General features: G+C 37.0%; 1 long non-coding RNA gene across 7 annotated transcripts in view; it reads left to right on the top strand.

The window, feature by feature from the left end:
* The window catches only part of LOC105377212 (uncharacterized), a 54,563-nt gene that overhangs the window by 19,755 nt on the left and 11,813 nt on the right, over positions 1–22,995 (top strand). Inside the window, exons 1-4 of one of the 7 annotated variants that reach the window (XR_007068256.1) lie at positions 2,457–4,443; positions 18,062–18,105; positions 18,833–18,899; positions 19,158–20,370. This is a non-coding gene — a long non-coding RNA (uncharacterized LOC105377212). Of the gene's footprint in view, positions 1–2,456; positions 4,444–14,848; positions 15,718–18,061; positions 18,900–19,157; positions 20,371–22,995 lie in introns of those variants that run through there. The other 6 variants (XR_938416.2, XR_001755867.2, XR_007068254.1 and 3 more) reach the window with 6 other exon arrangements.

Raw genomic sequence — 22,995 nt, 5'->3', positions numbered from 1 at the left:
TAAGACTTCAAAAGAACTTTGGTCTCCACAATCTTTTTTTAATTTTTTTTTAAATTATACTTAATGTTCTGGGATACATGGGCAGAACGTGCAGGTTTGTTACATAGGTACATATGTGACATTGTGGTTTGCTGCACCCATCAAGCCATCATCTACATTAAGCATTTCTCCTAAGGCTATCCCTCCCTTACCCCTCAACCCCCTGACAGGCCCTGGTGTGTGATGTTCCCCTCTCTGCATCCATGTGTTCTCATTGTTCAGCTCCCACTTATGAGTGAGAACACATGGTGTTTGGTTTTCTGCTCTTGTGTTAGTTTGCTGAGAATAATGGTTTCCAGCTTCATCCATGTCCCTGCAAAGGACATGAACTCATCATTTTCTATGGCTGCATAGTATGGTGTATATGTGCCACGTTTTCTTCATCCAGTCTATCATTGATGGACATTTGGGTTTGTTTCAAGTCTTTGCTATTGTGAACAGTGCCGCAATAAATGTGTGCATGTGTCTTTATAGTAGAATGATTTATAATCCTTTGGGTATATACCCAGTAATGGGATGGCTGGGTCAAATGGTATTTCTGGTTCTAGATCATTGAGGAATCTCCACACTGTCTTCCACAGTGGTTGAACTAATTTACACTCCCACCAACAGAGTAAAAGCATTCCTATTTCTCCACATCCTCTCCAGCATCTGTTGTTTCCTGACTTTTTAATTATCACCATTCTAACTGGTGTGAGATGGTATCTCATTGTTGTTATGATTTGCATTTCTCTAATGACCAGTGATGATGAGCTTTTTTTCTTGTTTGTTGGCTGCATAAATGTCTTCTTCTGAGAAGTGTCTGTTCATATCCTTTGCCCACTTTTTGATGGGTTGTTTGTTTTTTTCTTGTAAATTTGTTTAAGTTCTTTGTAGATTCTGGATATTAGCCCTTTGTGAGATGGATAGATAGCAAAAATTTTCTCCCATTCTGTAGGTTGCCTGCTCACTCTGATGATAGTTTCTTCTGTTGTGCAGAAGCTCTTTAGTTTAATTAAATCCCATTTGTCAATTTTGGCTTCTGTTGCCATTGCTTTTGGTGTTTTAGTCAGGAAGTCTTTGCCCATGCCTATGTCCTGAGTGGTATTGCCTAGGTTTTCTTCTAGCATTTTTATGGTTTTAGGCCTTACATTTAAGTCTTTAATCCATCTTGAGTTAATTTTTGTATAAGGTGTAAGGAAAGGGTCCAGTTTCAGTTTTCTGCATATGGCTAGCCAGTTTTCCCAACACCATTTACTAAATAGGGAATCCTTTCCATATTGCTTGTTTTTGTCAGGTTTGTCAAAGATCAGATGGTTGTAGATGTGTGGCATTATTTCTGAGGTGTCTGTTCTGTTCCATTGGTCTATATCTCTGTTTTGGTACCAGTATCTTGCTGTTTTGGTTACTGTAGCCTTGTAGTATAGTTTGAAGTCAGGTAGTGTGATGCCTCCAGCTTTGTTCTTTTTGCTTAGGATTGTCTTGGGTATGCAGGCTCTTCTTTGGTTCCATATTAAATTTAAAGTAGTTTTTCCTAATTCTGTGAAGAAAGTCAATGATAGCTTGATGGGGATGGCATTGAATCTATAAATTACTTTGGGCCATATGGCCATTTTCACGATATTGATTCTTCCTATACATGAGTATGGACTGTTTTTCCATTTGTTTGTGTCCTCTTTTATTTCCTTGAGCAGTGGTTTGTAGTTCTCCTTGAAGAGGTCCTTCAGATCCCTTGTAAGTTGGATTCCTAGGTATTTTACTCTCTTTGAAGTGATTGTGAATGGGAGTTCACTCATGATTTGGCTCTATGTTTGTCTATTATTGGTGCATAGGAGTGCTTGTGATTTTTGTACGTTGATTTTGTATCCTGAGAATTTGCTGAAGTTGCTTATTAGCTTAAGGAGTTTTGTGGCTGAGACAATGGGGTTTTCTAAATGTACAATCATTTCATCTGCAAACAGAGACAATTTTACTTCCTCTCTTCCTATTTGACTATGCTTTATTTCTTTCTCTTGCCTGATTGCCCTGGCCAGGACTTCCAATACTATGTTGAATAGGAGTGGTGAGAGAGGGAATCCTTGCCTTGTGCCAGTTTTCCAAGGGAATGCTTCCAGTTTTTGTCCATTCAGTATGATATTGGCTGTGGGTTTGTCATAAATAGCTCTTATTATTTTGAGATACGTTCCATCATACCTAGTTTATTGAGAGTTTTTAGCATGAAGGGGTGTTGAACTTTGTCAAACGCCTTTTCCACATTTATTGTCTTATCTGAACATTTTCCTTCTTCAATTCCAGGTCTTTAGACAAACTCAACCAATTGTCAGTCAGAAGTTGTTTAAATTTACCTATATCCTGGAAACCCCCCCAGCTTTGAGTTGTCCTGCCTTTCTGAACAAAACCAATGTATTTCTTAGATTTATTTGATTGATGTCTCATGCCTATCTAAAATATATGAAACCCAGCTGTACCCAAACCACCTTGGGCACATGTTCTCAGGACCTCCTGAGGGCTGTATCATGGACCATGTTCACCCATACTTGGCTCAGAATAAATCTCTTAAAATATTTTACAGAATTTGACTCTTTTTGTTGACACTCTTAGAATATTAGGTCTTAAATTTTATAACAGTGTGTTTAAGTCTACATAACAGACATCAATTGGGTGTCTGTAGGCTTCTAATGCACAGAGAGCTCACTCAAATTTTTTGTGTTATTTTAAAGAGGCAAGAAATCATGACTGGTCAGGTACGCCAAGAATCTTCAGGGAATACCATATGAGTCTGAAGTGTAGTTACATGGGAGGAATTTCCCACTGTGAATTTACCCTTCTTTAATGGAAAGTTGAGTTTATAATAATAGTGGTATGTGCATAATGGCAGATGATGTTTTAGTGAATTAGTTGTTACTGTAAAATTTTACAAAACCTTGCCATTTCATTATTAAAATATAGTGTAAATAAAATTTATGGAAAATATAATATGGTAAACCATATTAGACATTTTGTGGAAAAAAATTGCTTATTTTTAGGCAGGAAGGTACTGCTAAAGACTGGGTTCCCATTTATTAATTTTGTGTTTTCATAAAACATTAGTGTATTTTTCACAATGCTTAAGTCCCAGCTACACAGAGTAAACTTAAAAGGAAACTAGGTCATTAATTAATAAGATACATTTACTTGTGAGTAATTTCTTGTAACAGCTTTATTGAGGTATAACTTACAAACCATGAAATCCACCCATTTAAAGTATACAGTTAATGGTTTTGAATATATTTACAAATATGTACAGCAATCATTACTATTTAGTTCCATAATTTTTATCACCTGCTTGGAGTAATTTAAATAAAAACTTGAAAATGCCCTTTGAAATGAATAATTTTTTATTGAATTTTTAATGTAACTGATGTATTCTTAAAGCATCAAGATCAAATCATAGGTAAGATAAATATGCAAGATAGAATAGCCCCCATAATTGTTGTGGAGGTATCTGTGAATCATAGGAATCACATTTTATAGAGCAGCTAAGACTTGAATATATAAAGGATCTCCAAGGTTGCCTATATCCACATTCATAGAAGTGCTATTTTCTTTTAGATTTACCAATCAACTTTATAGGATTTTCATGTGAAAAGAGTAATGAACCTTTTTGTGGGGCTTGTATGTTTGGAGTGAACAGAAACACTGCAGAAGGGCCTCTGCGCCTAGAAATTGCATAGTAGAATCTAGAAAGAGGAGTGATTTGTACAAGAATACTCCTGTGAATTGTGTATTTATTAGTTTTTATGTTTGTGTGCTAGAAAAGGTCCACTCAAGAGTCTACTGTTTTTGAAGTGTAATAAAATTCTAAAGAGTTAAGAATATTCAAAATTCCAGTGGAAAAGGCAAAATGGGCCTAAAATAAGTCAAAACTAAATGAAGTATACTTTTGTAATTTGCTGGATGCCTCCATTAAATGAGTATGTGTTCATATTTAGAAAATCTTATCAAGAATTTGTTGTATCTATAAAATGTAAGGGTCTCTTTAAAGTAATATATGGATGTAAAAAATTGTGGTTCCCTAGAAGAAAGCAGGTCTATTAGGGAGGATTTTTTCTTAGTTCATTTAGAGAAGCTTCTTTATGGAATTTGAGTACATCATCAAATTCCTGGACCTGTGATTCATGCAATATTTAAAACAACAGGAAATCTTTTAAGACAAAGTTAGTTTTCTACATCTGCAGAGATAAATTTGAGGGCATGATGTATACTTTATAATCAGAAAAGATCTTCATGGAAATAATTTGTCCACATCAATGAGAGATACCCTTTGAATAATACTTTTATTATCTTTCTTGAAGGGGTAATTTAATAAGACATGTAATTTTAAGGCTCAGAGACCACATCATTGAACATCTATGTGCGCATCCTGGAGAAGTCCCACTTACTGAAGTACGTTTTTCAGGTCTTTTCATGTTAAGTATATTTACAGTGTTGTGCAACAGAGATTTTGGGTTTTTTATGTTTCAAAACTGAAACTATACGCTAAGCATGAAGTCCCTGACTCCTTCCCCCAGCTCTTGATAACCACCTTCCTATTCTCTGTTTTTATAATTTTGACCACATTAGATACTTCATATGGGTGGAATTACAGAATATTTGTCCTTTTGTTACTGGTTTATTTTGCTTAACATAATGTCCTCAAGGCTCACCCATGTTGTAGCACATAACGGTATTTTCCCTTTTTTTTTTGAAGGCTTTAATATCAGACTGTTGTTTATATACTTTCTCATTATCATTTTATCTGTTGATGGACATTTAGGTTATTTATACCTCTTGGCTACTGAGAACAGTGCTGCAGTGAACATGGGCATGCAACTATCTCTTTGAGGTCCCACTTTGGGTTCTTTTGGATATATACCCAGGAGTGGAATTGCCAGATCACTTGGAAATTAAATTTTTTAATTTTTTAGGAACCTCCATAATGTTTTACATAATGGCTGCATGATTTTATATACCCGCCAACAGTGCAAAAAGATTCCAGTTTCTCCACATCCATTCCAACATTTGTTATTGTATGTAATTTTAATAGTGGCCATCTTAAGGGGTATGGAGGTGATATATCAATGTGGTTTTGATTTGCATTCAACTTATGATAGTGATGTTGGGCATCATTTCATATGTTTGTTGACTATTTGTATACCTATTTGTCTATTCGTGTTATTTTACCTATATCTTAATTGGGTAATTTATTTTGGTCGTTGGTGGTGAATTGAAGTTTTTTATATATTCTTTTTAACTCCTTATCAGATATATAATATGCAAATATTTTCTTCCATGTTGTCTTTTTCACTATGTTGTTTTTTCTTTGACGTGTGCAAGTTTTTAAGTTCGATATAGTTTGATTTGTCTATTTTAACTTCTGTTACCTACGCTTCTCATGTCATCTTTATTAAATAATTGCCAAATCTAATGCCTTGAGAGTTATCCCTATGTTTTCTTCTATGACTTTATATTATCAGGCCTTGCATTTAGATCTTTAATTCTTTTACAGTTAACTTTTCTGTATGGTGTAATTTAAGGGTCCACATTTATTCTTTTGTGTGTAGATATCCAGTTTTCTCAACACCATTTATTGAAGAGTCTGTTCCTTTCTCATTGTGTAGTTTGGTACCCTTCTCAAGAATAATTTGGTTATATATGCAAGGTTCATTTCTTGGCTCTCTGTTTTGTATTACTGATTAATTCTCTAACTTTGTAAAAATTATTTACTATCTTGATTACTTTTTTGAAATCAGGAAGTGTGAGTTCTCTCATTTTATTATTTTTTTTACAAGACTGTTCCGGCTATTTGGATTTCCTGACATTCCTTATAAATTTTAGGATTTTTTTCTTGTATTTCTGTAAAATAATAAAAAATTGAGATTTTGGTAGCGATTCAATTGAATCTGTAGATTGCTTTACATATTCTGGACATTTTCACAATATTAAGTGGTCCAATACATAAGCACAGATTGTTTTTAATATTTTTGTTTCTTATTTGAGTCTTTTAGTAATGTTTTGTTTTTTTCGCCGTACATCATTTACCTCTTTGTTTATTGCCAAGTATTTTATCCTTTTGATGTTATAGTAAGTGGAATTGTTTTCTTTATTTCCTTTTCCCATTGGTAATTTATAGTGCATAGAAACAACTGATTTTTGTATGCTTGTGTTGGTTACTGAAATTTTTTTGAAAGCATGTATCAGTTTCAACAGTTTTTTTTTGTGCATGTAATCTTTAGTGTTTTCTGCCAAACGATTCTGTCAATTTGGATGTCTTTCATTACTTTTTATTATCCGATATTTCTGTCTAAGACTACCAGTGCTATGTTGAACAGTAGTGGAAATAATGGCCTCCTTGCCTTCTTCTGGATATTAGAGAGAGCTATTTCAATCTTTCACCATGAAGTATAATGTTATCTGATGGTTTTTTATATATGGCTTTTATTACGATAAGGTATTTTTCTTTTATTTCCAGTTGTTGAGTGCTTTATATTATAAAAAAAGGTATGTTGAATTTTCATTAAATGAGGCCAGGACACAATTTTTGCTCTTTATTTTGTTAATATAGTGTATTATATTGATTGATTTTTTGTTTTGAACCATTTCTGCATTCCAGGTATAAATCCCACTTTATCAGCATGTATAATACTTTTAAGGTGCTACTGCATTTGATTTGCTATTTTCCTGAGTATTTTTTGCATCAATAATCATCACGGATAATGTTCTGTGGTTTTATTTTCTTCTTGTCTCTGGTTCTGGTATTAGAATAATACTGGCCTCATAAAATGAGTTTGAAAGTGTTCCCTCTTCTTCAATTTTTTGGAAGAGTTTGAAAATTGGTGCTAATTTTTGAACATTTGGTAGAATTCATCAGTGAAGACAGCTGATTGTGGGCTTGTTTTGGTATGGGAAGTTTTTGATTATTGCTTGTATCTCCTTACTAGTTATAGTCCTTTCAGAATTTTTTTCATTTCTTTATGATTCATATACAGTAGGTTGTATGTCTGTTAAGTTTATCGTTTTTTTCTATATTCAATTTGTTGTTATAATTTTTGCTATATAATTTTTATACTCCTTTTTGTCTGTCACATCAGTTGTTATATCCCCTCTTTCATTTCTAAATTCAGTTATTTCAGTCTTCTACTTTTTGTAATATTCTAACTAAAGATTTGTCAATTTTATTGATCTTGTCAAAAAACTATCTTTTGGTTTTATTTTTTCTGTTGTTTTTCTGTTCACTAATTTATCTCTTCTTTATCTTTATTAATTATTCCTCATCTGCTAATATTGGGTTCAGTTTTTTTTCCTCTTCTGGTTCTTTGAGTGTGCATGTTTCTTAATTGAAACAACATGCATGTTTCTGCTTAGGAAATCCCTCTAGTGTCTCTCTGCGATATTGCAGCCTCTAAGTGGGGCAGTAAGCTATAGAACTGAAGCCCTACCTAGTGTCTCTCTGTGGTACTGCTGACTCTAGTTGTAGAATTAGTCATGTTCTCGTTTTCAGTGGTCTGCAATTTGGCCACTTACTCCTGTCATCACTTAGATGCAGGCAAGTTAGAAAATAGTTGCTTGGACAGCACCATGAGAAGTCAGAATGTTAGCTGTGGATTCCACTCCTTTCCATTTCAAAGGAGAAGTTAGAAATTAGGGATTTCCTCCCAATCACATTGTACTGTGCTGGGGAAGGGGGTGCTCTGTTGAGTAAATGCCACACATATATATATATATATACACATTATATTATATATATATATATATTATATATTATATATATATTATATATATATAATATATATTATATTATATATATTATATATATAATATATATTTTATATATAATATACATAAAAATATATATAATATATATATAATATATATACACACACACACACATATATATATATAGATATTTTTTTTTTTCCTGGCTTCAGCTCACCTTGGTGCAGGAACCTTTTAACTGGTTTTTGGATTTGTCACAAAGGCTACTGACTCATATGTTTTAGTTCAATTCTTGTTTCCTTGGGTGAAGAAGCATATGGGGCTTTAATATTCTGCCACCCTGCTGAAGTTACTGCTTACATCATGCAGTGTTTCAGAATGGTCAATCTGACTGAAAGTTGTAATAGAGATCTTAAAAAATATTATTTATTTTTGAATAAACAAAAATTTTTCATGAGGCCACTACATCTAAATTTCCATGTAAAGCATCCAATGGCCATGAAGTGTTGATAATCTGGATAGATTCCTTATGGTTTCTATGGGTCTGCTAACCAGAGAAGGCCAATTCCAGATACCTGATAAATAATTAAAGATATGCTTCAAAACCATATAAATAAAACATGTCCAGGGAAAAGTCATGAAATCTCAAGCACTTTTAAATTGAATTACTTCCCCTTTGTGATTTTATTATCTTGCTTTATCCTGAAGATTCCATTAAGTGGCTGCTGGGTATATACAGCAAAGTAATATTTTCAGGATTTCACTGTTTCTATTTGATGGTAAGGTGAATTAAATCCACTTATTTAAATTTTAAGGCATTAGTAGAAGGCAAGCTCATTAGGAATGGATGTGCATATGTTCTGAAAAATGCAGATGAGCCTTTATGAATCTTCATTTGCAGAAATGTGACAATCATTTATCAGAAATTCCCAATTTTTCCAGTTGGCACTGATAACTTTAAGGCTCAGATGAAGAACTCATGGAAATGAGTCATCAAAATCATGAAATATTTTTGGTTTGTTTGTTGAAAGGTTCATGTCAATGAGAGTGAGGTATATTTGATGTATACATTTCTTATCAAAGGTCACATAAGTGGGACAGGAAGAATGACCCCAGCATTGACATGAGAGATCTAGAAGTAATATTAGCCACATTGAGAAGGTAGCTGCTTGTAAAGGGAGGAACAAATCATTGGGCAGGATGCTCTAAGGTAGCAAAGGACTCCACATAGTGTTACAGAATATCCTATAACATTACAAGGGTAAATGAAAAGGGCTATTAGGACTAAAATTAAAATCAATTCCAGTGCTTACTAGTAAATATTAGCCTATTGTGGTCCTCCAGAATTCTGGTTTAGAATAATATTCGCACACTTAAATTGTCAAATTAGCAATATCAGTGATATACACCTCAAAGAGTTATTTTGAGAATGAAATAAGATAATATGTAGGAAATATGCAGCAGAGTCACTACCTAAAGGTGGGGTGTATGGCAGCATGGGGAATTGCTAATACACATATACACATTCCAATATAAAATACCTTTTTGAATCATGGCAATGATAACAGTGTAGTATAATGAGCCAAAGATGACCTATGTGTATTGAACCCTAGGTTGTTTAATTCTTTTCTCCTGTGTGTGTGTTTTTTTTTTAATTTTCATTTTTCTTTATTTCTTCTAAAAAAAAAAAAACAGGATACATGTGCAGAATGTGCAGGTTTGTTACATAGGTATACATGTGCCATGGTGGTTTGCTGTACCCAGTGACCCATCCTCTAAGTTTTCTCCCCTCGTCCCCCAATCCTGCATAGAATTCCATGGTGTATATGTACCACATTCTCTTTATCCAGTCTCTCATTGATGGGCCTTTGGGCTGGTTTTATGTCTTTGCTATTGTAAATAGTGCTGCAATAAACACATGTGTGCATGTGTCTTTATAGTAGAATGATTCATATTCCTTTGGGTATATACCCAGTAATGCGATTGCTGGGTCAAATGGTATTTCTGGTTCTAGATCCTTGATGAGTCACCATACTGTTTTCCACAATAGTTGAATTAATTTACATTTCCACCAACAGTGTAAAAGCGTTCCTATTTCTCCACAGCCTCGCCAGCATCTAATGTTTCTTGACTTTTTAATAATCGCCATTCTGACTGGCGTGACATGGTATCTCATTGTGGCTTTGATTTGCAATTCTCTGATGATCAGTGATGTTGAACTTTTTAAAATATATTTGTTGGCCACGTTAATGTCTACTCTTGAGAAGTGTCTGTTCATATCCTCTGCCCACTTTTTGATGGGGCTGTTTTTTTCTCGTAAATTTGTTTAAGTTGCTGTTTACTTCTTCACTGCAATATGATAACTGTTAGCTCAAAAACCTGCTGGTGCCAAATGAATTTTTGCACATCAAAATTGCTTTTTTCCTTTTGAACATCTGATCCAGAGACTTCTTTCTATAATACTGAGTGACATCGCCTAGACATATAGGCCCCTCTCTGATACATCTGTGCTCTCTTCAGAGAGTTCCCTTGTCTTTTCCCCTTCTGTGTCATGGACCCCTGGCCATATGCTTCGGGACAGTTTCAGGCTGTGAAAGTTTTATCCTGTCATGTGAAAGCACTGCCTAATAAAGCTTCTTGAGTGTTACTGCCTCTCATCATCATAGCTTCTTCCTTGATTAGCCCCAAATCCCTGGACTCAAACAGGTGATGACAAAGATGGGATTTTGGCGATTAGAGTATGGGCATGAAGACTGCCTAGCCAGTGAGACCATCCATTGACATAATGATCCTGGATAGCTTTAAGTGGTTGGGGCTTAAAATGTAAAACACCTCTGCTTTAGTTTGACATGGCATTGCTTCATGCTGTATTATACTCTATAGTTTTCATGGTTTTCTCCTGTGTCTCATTAGTCTGACCGAGGAAGCACCAAAATGTCTTTGAACCTACATCATGAAAACTGAATTTCTGTGTTACAGGTGTTGAGATACTCAGGGAAGGAGGCTAAACCATTTACTGGGACCCCTCACTAGGCAGGCTCTGAATATTGTAATACCTGTGGGCCTTAATAAGAAAGAGAAGAAATGCAGGCCTCTAGAGAAAAAAAATGGATTTTCTTTGATCCCATAATGGAGATTCCTGCAGTGGGACTGGTGGTTTGGGGAATTCTTTAATGAGAAGGCATCTTCATCCTTAGGGACTACTATGGCAGGTTAAGGAGCCAGTGAAGCTGAGATGCAGGACTAGGCCAGTCAGCTAAGTGAAGTTAGGGGCAGCAGCTTTGTAAATATCATGCCTCTGCTGTTGTCCCATCTGATCTGCTGCTAAAAGTGATGTAAATTCTAGTCTCTCCCCAGCGGGATATGGCCACACCAAACCTTTGGACTGAGCCAGCTAAATCATTACTTAAAACGAGTAAATACATGGAAATCTATATTCCTGATTCTCTAAAGACTCCAAAGGAGGTGGCTACTCATGAAAAAATGTTGCATGGCCGGGCGCGGTGGCTCACGCCTGTAATCCCAGCACTTTGGGAGGCCGAGGCGGGTGGATCACGAGGTCAGGAGATCGAGACCATCCTGGCTAACACGGTGAAACCCTGTCTCTACTAAAAATACAAAAAATTAGCCGGGCGTGGTAGCGGGCGCCTGTAGTCCCAGCTACTCGGGAGGCTGAGGCAGGAGAATGGCGTGAACCCGGGAGGCGGAGCTTGCAGTGAGCCGAGATCGCGCCACTGCACTCCAGCCTGGGCGACAGAGCGAGACTCCGTCTCAAAAAAAAAAAAAAAAAAAAAAAAAAAAAAAAAAAAAAAAGAAAAAATGTTGCAAACCGTGAGACATATGTTGGGCCCTGTCTTTGACAATTTCTCACCAGGGTGCCACTCAGAAGGGATTTAAAAGCTCAAACTCCCCAGGGGAAATAAGTTAAGCTGAGCTGGCAAGGAAAATCATGGGAAAACAACCAGCACCCTTTTTTAAGAAGTAGAACTGTGTCACCATAATAGGAACTGGGATAACTGGGATAATGTACCCACTACATTGCCAGTAACTACATGCAAAATAATAAAATAGAAAAGCCAAAAGGAAAAGACCAACAAGGAGGAACTAGTTATCAGCTGGAGGAAGAGACTTGTTCCATCTATTGTCCTAAGGCCCAGTAACTTCTTAAGGATTTAACCCATAAACCACTCGCGGTTTAAAGTGTGAACCCAAAATACCTGAGACAGGTCTCAACCAATTTAGAGAGTTTACTTTGCCAAGGTTAAGGACATGCCCATGAAACAGCCTCAAGAGGTCCTAATGACTTGTGCCCAAGGTTGTCTGGGCACAGCTTGGTTTCACACATTTTAGGGAGACAGGAGACATCAATCTGTATTTGTAAGATGTACACTGGTTCTGTCCAGAAAGGCAGGAAAACTGGAGGAGGGGGAGGTGACTTCCAGGTCATAGATAAATAAGAAACAAAAGGTTGCATTCCTTTGAGTCTCTGATTAGCCTTTTACCAAATACGCAATTTACATGTGAGAGGAGGTATAGTAATAGTCACTTATCCCTTAGTCTGACCTTAGTAAAACAATAGGGTAGAGGAAGAAATCAGACATGCCCTTGGCCTAAGAGGGATGACTTTGAGGTCTGTCTGTCCTTTGTCCACAAATAATTTCTTTGTGGGCAAATAATGAGGGAGATATGTAGCTTTTTTTTTTTGTTTTTAATCTTTGTAGCTATCTTGTTTAGGAATAAAATGGGAGACAGATTTGCCTGACATAGTCCCCAGCTTGATGTTTTTATTGGCTTAGTGATTTGCCGGGGGTGGGGGGGGTCCCAAGATTTATTTTCCTTTGACATTTAACCCCTTTTTAAAATCTTTTGGAGAAAGCATTTTAGAAGAAAAAGAGGTTTTTTTTGTTCCAGATTTGCCTCATGGCTAGGATGGTTTTTTCCTAGACAGGTAGGTCTCACGTTATCAGGAAAGGTCATTTTTAGTAGGTTGTGAATTCTTACGTTCTACAAAGAAAAAACAGGAGGAAGAAGGGAGAAAAACAACAGCAAAAAAAATATGAAGAGCAATCCTGAAAAATCAATATAGGCCATCTTACTCTGAAGTTCATACATCAGTAGGCAGGTATGCAAGTGGTTTATATATGTAAGTAGGTTGCTGCCATTTCATTTTCTTCTGAAGTTTACCTTTTCTCGCTTCAGTTTGCAGGGCTTAAAGAAAGCACAGGTTAATTTTTGGTGATTTCAAATCAGGAAAAGTTGGGAGGGGGAAGGAAAGAAAATAAAATTGTAAGTATTATTTTGAAGACTTGTAGCCAGGAAAAATTTTAGAATTCAGTCCATGCTGTAGAAAATAATAAAAATTCAAAAACATGAGGCAAGACTAGAATCTAACAACAGGTGTACTGTAGTGCAAAAGAAAAATAAATCGTGGGACCCCCAAATCACTGAGCTAAAGGGAAAGTCAAGCTAGAAACTGCTTAGGGCAAACCTGCCTCCCATTCTATTCAGTCATCCTTCTGCTCACTGAGGTAAATGCATATCTGATTGCCTCTGTTGGAAAAGCTTATGAGAAACTCAAAAGAATTCAACCTTTGTCTCTTATCTACCTATGACCTGGAAGCCCACTCCTCAATTCTAGTCATCCCACCTTTTTTGGACCTAACCAATGTTCATCTTTCATATATTGATTTAATTCTCATGTCTCCCTAAAATGTATAAAACCAAACCGTTCCCTGACTACCTGGGCACATGTCTTCAGGACCTCCTGAGGCTGTGTTACGGCACATGTTCTCACTTGGCAAAATAAACTTTCTAAATTTGCTGAGATCAGTCTCAGATATTTGGGGTTCACAGTTTGGTAACCATTAAGGGATTCTTAGTGGAGGTGCCCTGACATTGACAAAACTCCTATTGGTGTCCGGTACCAGCTTGAGCTATCCTTAAGGCTCAAACTAATAGAACATTTTGCTGAGGTCTGGAAGCCACCTTCCCCCTCCCCGCCAACTTCCCCCGTGCTTCCAGAGAATCCCTGATCTTCAATAATTTGGTTAAAGTCTAAAGTGTATTTTGCTGTACAGCTCCTTTTTTTTGGAGTTTTACTTGCTTCCAATAAGGAAGGCAAGTTTTCCTGTTTCCATGATGATGAAAGGCAGGTAACTCCTTTCTGGAGTTTGAGCTTGTTTCCAACGGGAGAAAAGTTTAAGTTTTTTCCTGCTTCTAGGATGGTAGAGAACAGTCTTCAGCCTGAGATCCATCCCTAGGTATGTAGCTGAATTGGGGTATTTTTCTTGGCTAAAGTTAAGACTAACAACAAGCTGGTCTTAATTTCTCCTTAACATTAGAGCACTCAGTAATCAGATAAATTGGGAGATCATTTGTTTTGCTTAATGGTTTCTTGTTGTTCTTTGTTTGTTTCTGTATTTGTTGTTGATTTGGTCTTTTTCCCATTGGGTTTGACCAACTCTATCCGACTTGATCAAATCCAAAGGAAAGTTCCAAATTATGGAGAACAAGGCCTCTGAAGTGGCTAAATTTCCACACACAAAAAATAAAAATAAAAAAGATGGGGAATGGGTTGGGAGAAAAACAGCAAACAACAAAAACGATTTTTTATTTTGACTACTTAACTGGCTTTATTTACATAATAAGCCCATCTTTTTGCTAGACAAACCAAACTGAAAGAGCAAGGGCTGTCACCCCATGCTGCAGTTTCATAGCTGAGGTTCTCCTTTCTTTCTTATTTTCCCTATGACAGCCTGAGTTTGCTTCCTAAATCAAGACCTTTGTGTTTTGATACTTGTTACCTCTGAAATATCAACAATCTGTCCTAGCTAAAATGTGGTAATGATGTCAGAGGTGTTTAAACCAGAGCAACTCCATCTAAAATGGGGGATGGGTAAAATACGACTGAGACCTACTGGGCTGAATTCCCAGGAGGTTAGGCATTCTAAGTCACAGGATGATCTAGTAGGTCAGCACAAGATACAGGTTATAAAGTCTTCCTTTGCTGATAAAACAGGTTGCAGCAAAAAAAGCCGGCCAAAACCCACCAAAGCCAATTTGGGGATGAAAGTGACCTCTGGTTGTCCTCACTGCTCATTATATGCTAATTATAATACATTAGCATGCTAAAAGCCACGCCCAACAGCACCATGACAGTTTACCAATGTCATGACAATGTCAGGAAGTCACTCTATATGGTCTAAAAAGGGGAGGAACCCTCAGTTCCTAGAAGCACACATCCCTTTCCCAGAAAGCTCATGAATAATCCAGCCCACGTTTAACATATAATTGAGAAATAACTAGAAGTATCCTTAATGGAGCAGTGCAAGCCACTGCTCTGCCTATGGAGTAGCCATTCTTTTATTCCCTCACTTTCTTAATACATTTGTGTTTACTTTATGGACTTGCCTTGATTTCTTTCTTGTGTGAGATCCAAGAACCCTCCCTTGGGGTCTGGATTCAGACTCCTTTCTGGTAACATCTTTCTGGCAAACCACTAAGGGATTATACTGAAATGACCCCCGACCCAAAGGAAAATCTTCTGTGTGCAGCACCACTTGGCCAACTTTGGGTAAGTGAGGCGCATTTAACTCGGTAAAGAATGGAATTGGGTTAGAGACCCAACTTAGAAAAGTTAGAGTCTGCCCTAAGATAGAGAGGGTTAAAGACCCCCTCTTAATAAAAGGCAAGGGTGCTTGACTGAACCTGTTTGGGGCCCAACTTAGGAAGGTTAGAGCCCTTCCTAAGATTTATGGGGTTGGAGGCCCCTCTCAGTAAAGTTCCTCTCGGCTAAAAGTGGGTTTGGCACTACTGGATGTTAACTGCTATTTTCTTTGGACTTATCTGCCTTGCACTCTTTGCTGATGGCTACGGGAGACAGAATTAAACATATTCAGGATCAAAGGACATGGCGAGCTATTTTTCCCCAAAAGGGAGACACTCGAGAGCTGATGGGACTTCTGGGTAAGATCCGTTTGTGACTGAAAAGCAGCTGCTTGAACTTTTGATTAAGTCTAACTGCAGTGGGTGGGTCTTTCTCTGGCCTCCCTGAGTTCCTCACCTTCCCCACTCTGCTTCAGGCAATGCTTTTCTCTCTTTCTCTTCTTTCCCTGTCCTATCTTTTCTGTCATTCAGGGGAACCTTCTTGCCCAGAGATCGCATGTTGAAAAATGTCCTTGGGAGCTTTGTCTTGGTCTCTGCCATATCTTGTATACATGTGGTGGTACTTTCTCTTGGTCTCTGCCATCCAGGGAAGAGGAATTTGGGGGTACATGTCATAGTTATCTCTGAAAATTAAATTGAGCAGTTAAAAGCCAATGCAATCTCAAAATTGACTGCTCTAGTCTCCTGGGAAGAGCAATAAAATATTTCCAATTCTGCAGCTTAGCAGCTAAGGCTTTGTGTTTTTCCAGTGGTGGCACAGGTTCAGGGTTCAATTCCTGGCTTAGGGAATAAGCCCTTTCTGGTTTGATATCTGCATGACATTTACCATTTGTTGATTATCTTCCCCTCCACAAACCATGTTGAATTTTTCTTTCTTTGAGGACAGAAATATTGGCCATTTGGCCTGGCTAAATTTGGGTAATAAGAAATTTAAAAGGATCTTTTTAAAAAGAGTATTACATTTAAAAGTCAGCCTAATTAAAAGAGGATATTCAAGCTCTAAAAGCCTGGGACTCCTTGTGAACAACAAGTAGTGCCACAGACCTTGTTTTGGGAAAAAACTCTTTTTTTTTTTTTTTCTCATGAAACCCCAGGAACCAGAAGTGGAGAGATCCCTTCACAATCTAAGGCTCTTTTCTCTTTTGCATTGCATTATCAGGTGTTTTTAACCCTTGGGGGGATCAGAAATTGCTCCACATTATAATAGAACTTTGGTGTGTAATAACTGGGTAGGAAATATGCTTTGGGGAATAGCTAATGACAGTTAAAGGTGAATACTTGGCTTTTCACATGTTTGGATCAGAGGAGCATGCTCTTGGCCACCTAGAAGGTATGGCAATGTGCTCATCCCTGCCCCACACTGAGACCTAAGACTCCCATGGAAGATGGGGTAATCACAGAGTAGGTTGAGTGGCTTTGAATTGCTTTGCAGTGAAATGCACAGTAAAATCATTGCACTGTCTTGTTCTGTAGCATTTGTCTTTTTTGGGATTTAAGATATGATATAAAATGGGACCCTTAAATTTTGGGGGATCTTTTTTGCTTTCCAGCTCTGCCTATTTATTAAGCCATAGAAACTGCATGTTTTCCTGGCCCTGTTCCTCCAAGGGCTCCACCCTGAAGCAGTAATCTGATTAAGAACCTGGCAAATAAAAAATCTTAAAACTACTGGAACATTTCTGTCTATGTATTTATATGTGTTGTGTGTGTGTGATATGAAAGAGCTTTGATTGTTTTCAAAAATCATAAGAGCTTAAATCTAACATTCTATCAGAAAATAAAAACGAATGAATGCCTTTTAGTCCATGTGACTTTAGTAAAGTTTCAGAAATAAAAACAGTTTTGAAGATCATTGGTAAAATTCAAATGTCTTCAAAATTCAGACATTTGGTCTGAAGTAGGTTAAATATTAAGTTTGCTAGATGTGTTAGGGTCATAAACGGCTTCTTTGATTTTTGAAAATTGTTCAACCTACTTACTTTGAAGCAGATTCTAGGTAAAGCCTGGGGATATGTGGTGTTAGCCATGCCTCCTAGTTATGCTGGATAGTCAAACCTTATCTGCACTTCTTTCTGTGTCCTAGGCTCCAAAGGTAGTACATAGTTAAAATCACCTACAATCCAGGTTTTTCCACCAATGGTTCCTAAGAGTTCTTTCTTTAGGCTGTATTTGTGAATATATGTTTTTGGTAGGTGTTCCAAAATTATTAGAAACTTCTGTAACTCTGATATAACTTAGTGTATGCTATTAATAGTTATAATAATTGTTATGTAAAATTGTTGTATGCCACAGAAGTCACCAAAATTCTTAGTCAATTGTGGCTTTAATAGAGACTGCCCTAAAGTGTTTTGTCATCCAGGGACAATTGTTGCCTTGTTTTTTTTTTTTTTTTTTTTTTTTTTCTTTAGAGGTGGTTTCATAATCAGCTACAGAACTCTAATAGGTGTTCTTAAATGCAGGTTTCTGATAAATTTGGAGATTTTGATGTTAGAATAGAAGAAAAAACTTTCAGGATCTCCTGGAGTGCTGAAATGTTCACGAATATCAGGCAGAACAGGAGTTAACAACATGGACTGGACTAATAGAAGACTAAAGTAATCTTTTTGACTTTTTGCTTAAAAGGATCCTCTGTTTTGTTTTTCAGAGCCAATAAAACTTTTCTTTTGAGTGATTTGCAGCTTTTAACAAGTAAGTAAAATATACTCCTGTGAACAAAATTTGGAGCATATTTGTTTCTCTCTACCTGATTTCTCCAGAATTTGGAAACTATTTGTGAGTATTCTTAACTTATGACAATATAGTTATTTGCATAAGTGCAATAAGAATGTTTTCTTTTGTAACAGGACAAAATAAAAGAAACCAGTTATTTTACCAAGGCTTTGACTGGAATGGCATGCTTTCCTTTAAGGAATCGAATTTGGCTTACAGGGCCAATAAAAGCCCCTTGGGAAAACTGGCCTCATACCCTGTCTACACTGTCCCGTACAGGGTTCCTGACCTGTAGTAAATAAAGAATGTCACTTTCTAACAGGCCCAGGAGCCCTAGGTTATCTTGGGACCTCGAAAAAAGAGGAATTTACCTAACTGATAAATATTTGATAGTACAAACCTATGGCTAGGCTTGGCTTTGGAAAAAAACCTTATCTGAGATTCCTTTTGTGGAACAAAGTCCAATCAAAGCCAATTTAAAAAGCCTATGTGAAAAATGATTATTTTTGCTGTACTTTACACAAATAATCAGGCTAAGTGTAAGACTATGGCGTATTTTTGCAAACAAATCAGCCCTGTTAGGATTTGTCTTTAGTAAAAATGGGAGAATGGAGAGATAGAAAAAACATATTTTAAAAACAATGGTACACTTGTTATAAAATTGTGATCTCATCAGTTATTTTTGAGTTTTCTTTCTACGATTTAGACTGAACCTGCTTATTTCTGTGAACCAACCAGTGATCTCTTATGGCTGTTCAAAAGTAACAAGAGAGGTGGGTAATGTAAAAAATCTGGATCAATATTCTAATTCTGAGCACATATTGGAATGTATAGCATGTATAGCAACTCCATATCACTTTGGTTCCAAAGTCTCCCAGTTCATGAAAAGCCTTCTTATTTAGTTTACTTGGGATAATTTTACTTATTTTGTTTTACTGTTGTGAAATATAGTGCTGTCGTACTCTTTGCGTAGGAATGCAGGATAAGCTTACTGAATGTATTCTTAAATTGAACACTTATTAATCTTCCAGATATCACCTTTTGTCATAACTCAAGTCTTATGAATGGCCCTCACCATAATGATGCTTTTTGACTGAGCTCTTCTCTAACCTGAATGCAAGAGGTTAGGCATGAATATCATCCCCCCTGTTCAGCCTGAAGAAGTTACAGAAGATGAATCTTCCACTCTCTACAGCCCTTAGGATTAAGGGTTCTCTTACTGAATGTATTCTTAAACTGAACACTTATTAATCTTCCAGATATCACCTTTTGTCATAACTCAAGACTTATGAATGGCCCTCACCATAATGATGCTTTTTGACTGAGCTCTTCTCTAACCTGAATGCAAGAGGTTAGGCATGAATATCATCCCCCCTGTTCAGCCTGAAGAAGTTACAGAAGATGAATCTTCCTCTCTCTACAGCCCTTAGGATTAAGGGTTCTCTTACTGAATGTATTCTTAAACTGAACACTTATTAATCTTCCAGATATCACCTTTTGTCATAACTCAAGACTTATGAATGGCCCTCACCATAATGATGCTTTTTGACTGAGCTCTTCTCTAACCTGAATGCAAGAGGTTAGGCATGAATATCATCCCCCCTGTTCAGCCTGAAGAAGTTACAGAAGATGAATCTTCCTCTCTCTACAGCCCTTAGGATTAAGGGTTCTCTTATAAAAGGGAGGGGGTAAATATGTCAGAGGCATTTGAACCAGAGAAACTCCATCTTGAATAGTCCCTGTGTAAAATAAGACTGAGACCTACTGGGATGCATTCCCAGGAGGTTAGGCATTCTAATTCACAGGATGAGATAAGAAGTCTCCACAAGATACAGATTATAAAGATTTGGCTGATAAAACTGTTTGTGATAAAGAAGCTGGCCAAAACACACCAAAACCAAGATGCCAACAAAAGTGTCCTCTGGTTGTCCTCACTGCTCATTATATGCTAATTATAATGCATTAGCATGTTAAAAGACACTCCCACCAGTGCAATGACAATGTACAAATGCCTTGGCAACATCAAGAAGTTACCCTATATGGTTTAAAAATGGTAGGAACCCTCAGTTCTGGGAATTGCCCACCCCTTTTCTGGAAAACTCATGAATAATCCACCCCTTATTTAGCATATAATCAAGAAATAACTGGAAGTATCCTTAGTGAAGCAGGCCAAGCCACTACTCTTCCTATGGAGTAGACATTCTTTCATTAGTTAACTTTATTAATAAACTTGCTTTCACTTTATGGATTCACCTCAAATTATTTCTTGCATGAGATCCAAGAACCCTTTCTTGGGGTCTGGATCTGGACTCCTTTACAGTAACAATGAGATTTAAAAATATTATTTTAAGGAGCTCAATGGTTAAAAGTCAGCTTAATTAAAAGCTAACATCCAAGATGTGTGCATGTGTGTGTGTGTGTGTACATGTGCACGTGTGTGTATGTTTGCATTAAAAGACTTTATGGTTTTTTTTCTCTCCTAAGACCTTGTCTCCTCTGAGCAGAAGTTTATTATTTTTTTCTCAGTTTATTGAATTTCATTGTCTTCATTTAGTTCTGCTGTCTCTGCTTTCTCTTGCCTCCGTCTGCTGCATGAGGGGCCTAAAACAGCTTATAATAGCCCAGGATTCACTGAAGAAAACAGACAAAGCACCAGACTCTTTTCTGGGGAGAAACTTGTTTTTCTTTATGGAACCCCGAGAGTGGGTAAAGAGAAAAGTTTGTCTCAGATCATAAAGTACTTGCTTTTGCATTGTGTTACCAGATTTTTTGACTAAAATAGTTATTGTAACGGAGGCTATTCTTGGGTACTTAAGAAAGAGGATAGTTTAGACATTTAGAACGGTCTTTGTTAATGTTTTTAAAAGTGCACTGTAAAAGCATCATGTGGTCTAGCCTCATAATAATTCTCCCTGTCTGGAGACCCAGGATTCAGTATGGGCCCTATCCAGAGCTCAGAGATACAGTTAAAAGATAGGTAGTCTCTATCTAAATACAACCGGTCTCCCCTTACAGTCCTATGACGGATTTCTATAATTTTTATTTGGCATCCATTTTTAATCTCCCTCTAGCACCAGACTACTTCTCTCTGTACTATGAGATGTAAATGTCATTACCATATTTTTTTTAACGTAAGATTTCCTTTAATATGCAAGCTTAGGACTATCTAGCAGACAATTGCCTAGGGTAATAAAATAGTTTATTAAGACTGTGTAACAGCTCCCCAGTTCCAGGCAGTGCAGCTCAGGGATAAAATTTTTCCACTTTAGAAAATGAGAGGGAAGAGTACAGAGAAATTCATCTTGCAACTCGGGTACCAGTTTAGTCACACTGAAATAAAGCACCAAGCAGATTACTGAAGCTCTAGATTCCAGGCCTTAGCTACTGGACAGCATTTCTAGACCCACTCTGGACCAAAAGAAAATCCACCGTTCTGAAAGAAATTAAAAAAAAAATAAAACTTAGTTCTGACAGAGTTCACCACATTCAGACATAAGAGCTTCTGGGCCTTGAATAACCATAAGCAGTAGCCAGGCAGTCATTGCCATGAGCCTTGGGTGCAATCCAACAGTGTACTGGCTTCAAGTGTCATCCAGTGCAGTGCTACCTGCGGTGGCCATGGGATGGCTTGTGGCACTCCTCCAAAAACTTCAGGCAGCCCAGCATGTAGAGAGAGAGAGAGAGAGAGAGAGAGAGAGGGAGAGGGAGAGAGAGAGAGAGAGAGAGAGAGAGAGGGAGAGAGAGAGAGAGAGAGAGAGAGAGAGAGACTCCTTTTGATTAGGACAAAGAGAGGGAAGAGAGTGAGATAATTTTTCTGGTAACCCGGGAAATTTTCCCTTAACTTAACCAACACCACCAACATGGTGCTTCAAGGAGTCAGCAAGAGCTGCGCTGTTACTGAATTTAGAACTTAGTGTGCCTTACAATCCTGATATGGCTGCAGTGACCACAAAGTTAAATTACCACTCTAAATACCCTTTGAATATGTAAACAGCCTTCTCGAGAAGTATGGGTAAAAATAAGTGCAGAATACTAAGATTAGAGTACATACCTAACTCTTCAATGAGCAGACACTGAAAAATATCCACAAGCATCAAGAACATACAGAAAAACATGACCTCACCAAATGAACTAAGTAAGGCACCAGTGACCAACTATGAAGTGTCAGATATATGTGACCATTCAGACAGAGAGTTCAAAATACCTGCCTTGATGAAGCTCAACAAACTTTAAGATAATACAGACAATAGAGTCACAATTTTATTAGATGAATTGTAAAAAGAGACTGAGAAACTATGAAAAATCTAGCAGAAATGCTGGAGCTGAAAAGTACAATTAACATACTGAAAAAAATGCATTAGACCCTAGCAACAGCAGAATTGATAAAGCAGAAAAAAAATAGTAAGCTTAGAGACAGGCTATATGAAAATACACAGAAGAGAAAAAATAATTTAAAAATTAAAGCATGACTATGAGATATAGAAAATACCTGCAAAGGGGCAAATCTAAGAGTTCTTAGCCTTGAACAAGACGTAGGGAGAAAGGGGATAAAGTTTATTCAAAGATATAGTAACAGACAATTATCCAAACCTAAAGAATCATAGGAATACCGAGGTACGAGAAGGTCCTAGAACACCAAGTGGATTAAAGCCAAATGAAACATCTCCAGGCATTTAATAAATTCTCAAAAGTCAAAGATAAAGAGAGGATACTAGAAGCACCAAGAGAAAAATAAACAAATAGCACATAAAGGAGCTCCAATATGTATGGCAGCAGACTTCTCAGCAGAATTCTTATAGACCAGGGGAGAGTGAGATAGCATATCCAAAATGCTGAAGAAAAACAAATCCCAACATGGAATATCGTATT

Source organism: Homo sapiens, chromosome X (genome assembly GCF_000001405.40).
Source record: "Homo sapiens chromosome X, GRCh38.p14 Primary Assembly".
Taxonomy (NCBI): domain Eukaryota; kingdom Metazoa; phylum Chordata; class Mammalia; order Primates; family Hominidae; genus Homo; species Homo sapiens.
Note: the sequence above shows the minus strand (reverse complement) of the source record. Positions and strands in the feature narration are given on the sequence as shown.